Below are 6044 nucleotides of genomic sequence, written 5' to 3'. Positions count from 1 at the left end.
AAATGAAATATTACATAGAAGATGTCTGGTCAACAGAAAGTGCTCAACACATCGAGGCCTTTGTTGTTGTTGACAAGGTGATGGTGGCTGAGGTGGACTTTGAGTCTGATAGGTCTGATTTGGAGTCATGGCTCTACCACTTCCTGATGGTGTGACCTATGACAAGCCACTTGAATTCTTTAGGCCTCAGTTTCCTCAAAGTCGGGCTGGTCATAAATTATTGAGTAAAAACATGTATGTCCGTGTATGTATATTTCATGTAACTGTAGCTGGTAATCATGTCATTTCTGACTGTCTTCCTTCTTTCTCTGCATAAGAAAAGATATTCTCATTGAGATAGAGAGAAGAAATGTATTTTATTAGCTCGCATTAAAAGCACATTTTGTAATCACAATATGTAAAGGGAGCTTCAGATATCATTTGCATCCTGTGAAAAATTTCAGGAGTTTGAGTTATTGGGTTTGTGTGCATTTTTAAGGATGTTCTCAGCTAGGCTATTTTCCATAAAGATGTGTAATAAGGATACCAGGTAATCAACCAAGCATTCACTCAAAACCAGGTGTCTCACTTCTCTCGTGAAACTGAACATCTTGGGACACTGCTTTTCAAAGACATATGAGACTTTGACTTAAAACTGTGGTTTCAAAAGCAATTTCAACAAAAGCAAATTGACAAATGGGATCTAATTAAACTAAAGAGTTTCTGCACGGCAAAGAAAACTATCAACAGAGTGAACAGACAACCTACATAGTAGGAGGAAATTTTTGCAAACTATGCATCTGACAAAGGTCTAATATCCAGTATCTATAGGGAACATAAATTTACAAGTCTGAAACAAATAACACCATTTAAAAAGTGGACAAAGGACATGAACAGACACTTTTCAAAAGAACACATATGTGCGGCCAACAAGCATATAAAAAAAGCTCAACATCACTGATCATTAGAAAAATGCAATGAAAACCATAATGAGATACTAGCTCACACAAGTTAGAATGGCTATTATTAAAAAGTCAAAATGTAATAGGTTCTGGTGACATTGCATAGAAAAAGGAACACTGTTGGTGGGAGTATAAATTAGTTCAACCGCTGTGGAAGACAGTGTGGCTATTCAAAGACCTAAAAACAGAAATGCCATTTGACCCAGCAATCCCATTACTGGGTATATACCCAAAGGAATTTAAATTATTCTATTATAAAGACACATGCACATGTATGTTCATTGCAGCACTACTCACAATAGCAAAGACATGGAATCAATGTACATGCCCACTAATGGTACTCTGGATAAAGAAAATGTGGCACACATACATCATGGAATACTATGTAGCTATAAAAAAGAACAAGATCATGTCCTTTGCAGGAACATGGATGGAGCTAGAGACCATTATCTTTAGCAAACTAAGGCAGGAACAGAAAACCAATTACTGCGTATTGTTCCTTATAAGTGGGAGCTAAATGAGAACGCATGGACACTTGGAGGAGAACAACACACACTGGGGCCTATCGGAGGGTGGAGGGTGGGAGGAGGGAGAGGATCAGGAAAAAACAACTAATGAGTACTAGGCTTCATACCTAGGTGACACAGCCATCTGTACAACAAACCCCCATGACACAAATTTACCAGTATAACAACGTGTATCTGTTGAGCCTAATACTGTTCACTTGTAAAGTCAAACAGTTCAGAGAAGACAGGGAAGCTAAAATTTAGAAGTTATGAGTGGATTTATCATTTTAATACCATATCATTTTAATGCCTTATTTTCTCCACTAGCCTGTGATCTACTAGGACCTTAGGCAACTTTATGTCCAAGCCCTGTCTTCTAACAGATGTAGTCCACCAAGTGCTGAGGTACAAGATCCATATCCAAAAAGCACATGTACGCTTAAACTTAAAAGTTAAGGAACAAGCCTTGATTTCTTGCCTCAAGCCACAGCATTATGGATTACTTAGCGAAACAATGAAGACATATCAGTTGTCTTAGGCCCAATATTCTTTTGCTCTTACTAGCAAGATAGAAATAATCCTTCTCATTTAGTCATTGAATTTAGGCTGGGGTAGAAGAGGCATTTAAATTATTGTTAATAAAGAAGATTAATTGATTATCATAACTTTGAGTCTGAACCAGAAGTTCTTTACAATTGGACACAGTGGGTTGTAGTGTAAGAACTAACATTTTATTGAAGGAAAACCTCGTTGCTGAGACACTTTTTTTTCCCAAAGCATCATATCCTGATAGGTTGTGTACCCGAGCAGTGGCTGATTTGAACATTCTAGAAGAGAAGCCAGATATTAACCACTTACCAAGATGTGGCAATCATTCATTCTGTTCTTGAAAAAAGCTAGGATAATTTTTGGTAAAGAAGCCATGAGAAGTAATGAATTGTTTTCCAAGCTGAGCTTTAAGACTGCCAGTTAAATGATGTATCACCTTTGTTGCCAATATCCAATATCCATCAATATCCAATATCCAATAAATATATTGCTCAGTGATTTTCAAAGAAGTAACTTACTTCAAGGGTTGACTGGAAAAACCCATTTCCTCTTAAAATGTCTGTGGAAGTGAGGTACGCACAAAGATCCAGAGTGGACTTATGCGTGGGCGTCTGATTACTAAACACGAAGTGACTCACCTGCGGCTTCACAAGCACACGCACGGAAAGGCGTCGTGGGAGAGGTCAGAGGCTTTCCCCACCCTGCTTGTGAGTGACCTTTGTACATGGTGGGGCAGAGACAAAGATTCATAACTTACTGACAGGTGTTGGTTAAACTCGGCTTTTATTAGTATTTTTATAGGTTTCATGATTAGGACTTAAGCAAGATTGTGCCTGAGTGAAAAATAAATGAATAGAGGAGCTGCTTCTTCACCGTCTCACATTTCCCAGGCTTGGGCACACCGGCTTCTCATGCAGAGGAGGCTTTGAGAGGCACGAACAGGGGAAGGTAAGCTGGTGCCAATCGCTTAGCCCAGATACAGCCCAGGGCAAAGGCACCTGGGAACAGTGGTTCTCTACCAGGGCTAGACTTTAGAATCACCAGGGGAGCACACATCCAGAGTGAGGACTAAGGCTCCCAACACTTATTGCCTGAAAGGTGAGTTTGTTTTCATTGCTGTCACCCAATGGAAAGCAAGCTGGTAAACAATGATAGGGTCAAGGTTTAAAGCTATAGCTCCAATGAAGAAATAAAAGTATATGAAAGGTACCAAGTGTGAATTCTTAACCTGAGGACCCTGAAATCAAGGGGCTCCATAAACTCTTGCAATTGCATGCCAAGCTTTGAGGGTACGTGAGTCTTTATATTTGGGGGATGAGGCAAGAAGGGGGGAAGGCTCATCGCTTTCAGAGAGTTGTGAGATGAATCCGCAGACACCAATCTTTTAGGAACCACAGAGCGAACACCCACCTTCATGAAATTCATGCCCACACAAAGGCTCAGCCACAGTTTTTTTTGTTTTTTGTTTTTTTTTTTTGAGACGGAGTCTCGCTCTGTCCCCCAGGCTGGAGTGCAGTGGCGCGATCTCGGCTCACTGCAGGCTCCGCCTCCCGGGTTCACGCCCTTCTCCTGCCTCAGCCTCCCGAGTAGCTGGGACTACAGGCGCCCGTCACCACTCCCGGCTAATTTTTTGTATTTTTAGTAGAGACGGGGTTTCACCGTGTTAGCCAGGATGGTCTCGATCTCCTGACCTCGTGATCCGCCCGCCTCGGCCTCCCAAAGTGCTGGGATTACAGGCGTGAGCCACCACGCCCGGCCAGACACAGTTTTGTTTTGTTTTGTTTTGTTTTTTTGAACTGATTTTTTTTCTTTTTATTTATTTATTTATTTATTTATTTATTTATTTATTATTATACTTTAAGTTTTAGGGTACATGTGCACATTGTGCAGGTTAGTTACATACGTATACATGTGCCATGCTGGTGTGCTGCACCCACTAACTCGTCATCTAGCATTAGGTATATCTTCCAATGCTATCCCTCCCCCCTCCCCCGACCCCACAACAGTCCCCAGAGTGTGATGTTCCCCTTCCTGCAGACACAGTTTTTAAGAAGGAAAGTCTACAGGTTAGGGAGAGGTGGTACTGCGTGCTTCCCCAGATCTTCACTTTTCTGTCCTTGTTTCTTCAGTCTGTGCCTGCTCTTGCCACCTGTTCTTGGTTCCCAGGGGACTCCAGCAGCTGCCCCCTACATTCCGACCTAGATAAAGTCACCTTTCCTTGGTATTAGGCACAGCTGAGTGACTCTGATGTTCTCGAAACCACAAATGATGCAGGGAAACTAACAATAAAGATGAGCAAACAGTGAAGGAAATGATGACAAAATAGGTTGTGAGAGTCAAGGTCGAGTGGAGTGTCTTTCTATGCTCATGCTCCAAATTTCTGCCTCTTTTCAGATTTCTTCACTGGTTTCCACTCATTCCAACCCCTCGTCTCTGCTTGGCTGGGATGGTCTTAATACTGGCTACTTCGTAACGTTCTCATGAACCAAAAAACATCACTAATAGACTCCGTCCTTCTTTCTGAAATGAGGGATATGCTTCCTGCCTTCAGCATTCCTCGACTTCAGTCTATTTTGAAACCAGGGCTGGTGAATTGGTTAAATTCCATCAATGGAAAGGACATCCTAACAGAACTTCTTAAACTGAAGTGTGCATTTGAACCCCATGGCACTTTGTTAAATATGCAGATTCTGGCACCCTCTGGGAACCACTGTGAGCAGCAAGGTCCTAGAGGATCTGTTGGGAGTGTCTCTGCAGCTGGCAGCCTGCAACAGCGCTGGCGTTTTTTGGAGAGGGGACAGATTAGCCCTGAAGCCTCAGGTATCTGACATGCCAGTTACTGCCTCCTGTTTTAGGTAATCAGCCCTGCTGTCTCCTGGAGCAACTCTCAGTGATTGTGTCAGATGTGCTGTCACTGCGGGCTCTATGTTTTTCCCTTTCCTTGTCAAGTGTATCTCTTCCTGCAGCTCAGAGAGCGAGATGGTATTAGCCCTACATACAAGGACCAGCTCACATTAAGGCACTGCCTTCAGTCTGATAGAGAGCCAGACTTGGCAGCACTGCAGAAGCTTCTCCTTTCTGCTGGTGGAATGGGTCTGGAGAGTTTCCACTGCCCAAGCCAGCACAGCATGACCAGAGTTCTGGGTGTTCGGTGGACGTCAGTCCACAGCCAAAGTCCAGGCAGCTACTTCAGTTCTCTGCTGAGATTGGAGCCCAGCTCTGAGAGTTAGATGAGTTCTCACCTTTCTTCTGAGCTCTGACTCTGCTTCTGACACTCTTGGTCCAACCTGGATAGAGTGTGGAGGTGAAATGTTGACAGTGTCTAGTGTTGACCTCAGACTCTGAGCTCCAGCCCTACCTTCTCAGGTGGCTGCCCTTGAGGACTGATGCGAATCCCGGGTGGACTAGCACTAGTCTGCTGCTGCCGCTTGGTGAGTCAAATGTACCTTGTCTTGCTGTTCCAGTCTGGAAGCTCCTGGCATGTTAAATTATTATTAGCAGTAGCAGTATTAGTAATTATAATAATAAAAGCAGTAGCAATTCCGTTTGAGTGCTTCCTATGTTCCAAGCTCTGTGCTAAGTGGATTACATATATTGTTATATTAATTATCAGAAGAACATGATGAGGCAGCTTCTATTTTTGACACAGTTTTCCCCAGGAGGCAACTGAGGCCCAGAGAAGGGTTAAGTAGTTTGTCCAAGATGCTCAAGTAGTAAGAAGTAGAGCCAAGACAGGAACTCATGGTTTTTGGGCTAAAAGGCTGCGTCCTTAATCACTAGGGCGCGCTGTCTCTACTGTCAGACGCCAAAGCCCACCCCTGATTAACAACTGCTGGAACTCCAGCCGAAAGACGCACTGATGAGTTTATTTTAGAAGCTGCTGATCGTAGACTGGGAAATATATTCGCGAGGATCTGATTGTGCATCTTTCACACTCTCAGGTCTGCGTAAGCCAAGCTCTCAGAAGTTCATGGGCACTCTTTCTGAATACAGATGACTGCTCAAAGTTTAAATACCCGAAAAGGGAGTTGATACCTTCTGTCATCCC

At 43.0% G+C, this 6044-nt stretch overlaps 1 long non-coding RNA gene across 1 annotated transcript; it reads left to right on the top strand.

The window, feature by feature from the left end:
* Positions 1-690: 690 nt before the first annotated feature.
* Positions 691-5539, top strand: LOC124903585 (uncharacterized). The gene is made up of 2 exons (XR_007064805.1): positions 691-2944; positions 4391-5539. It is a non-coding gene; the product is annotated as an uncharacterized LOC124903585 (long non-coding RNA).
* Positions 5540-6044: the final 505 nt, after the last annotated feature.

The sequence above is a fragment of the Homo sapiens genome, chromosome 15, assembly GCF_000001405.40.
Source record: "Homo sapiens chromosome 15, GRCh38.p14 Primary Assembly".
Classification (NCBI taxonomy): Eukaryota; Metazoa; Chordata; class Mammalia; order Primates; family Hominidae; genus Homo; species Homo sapiens.
Note: the sequence above shows the minus strand (reverse complement) of the source record. Positions and strands in the feature narration are given on the sequence as shown.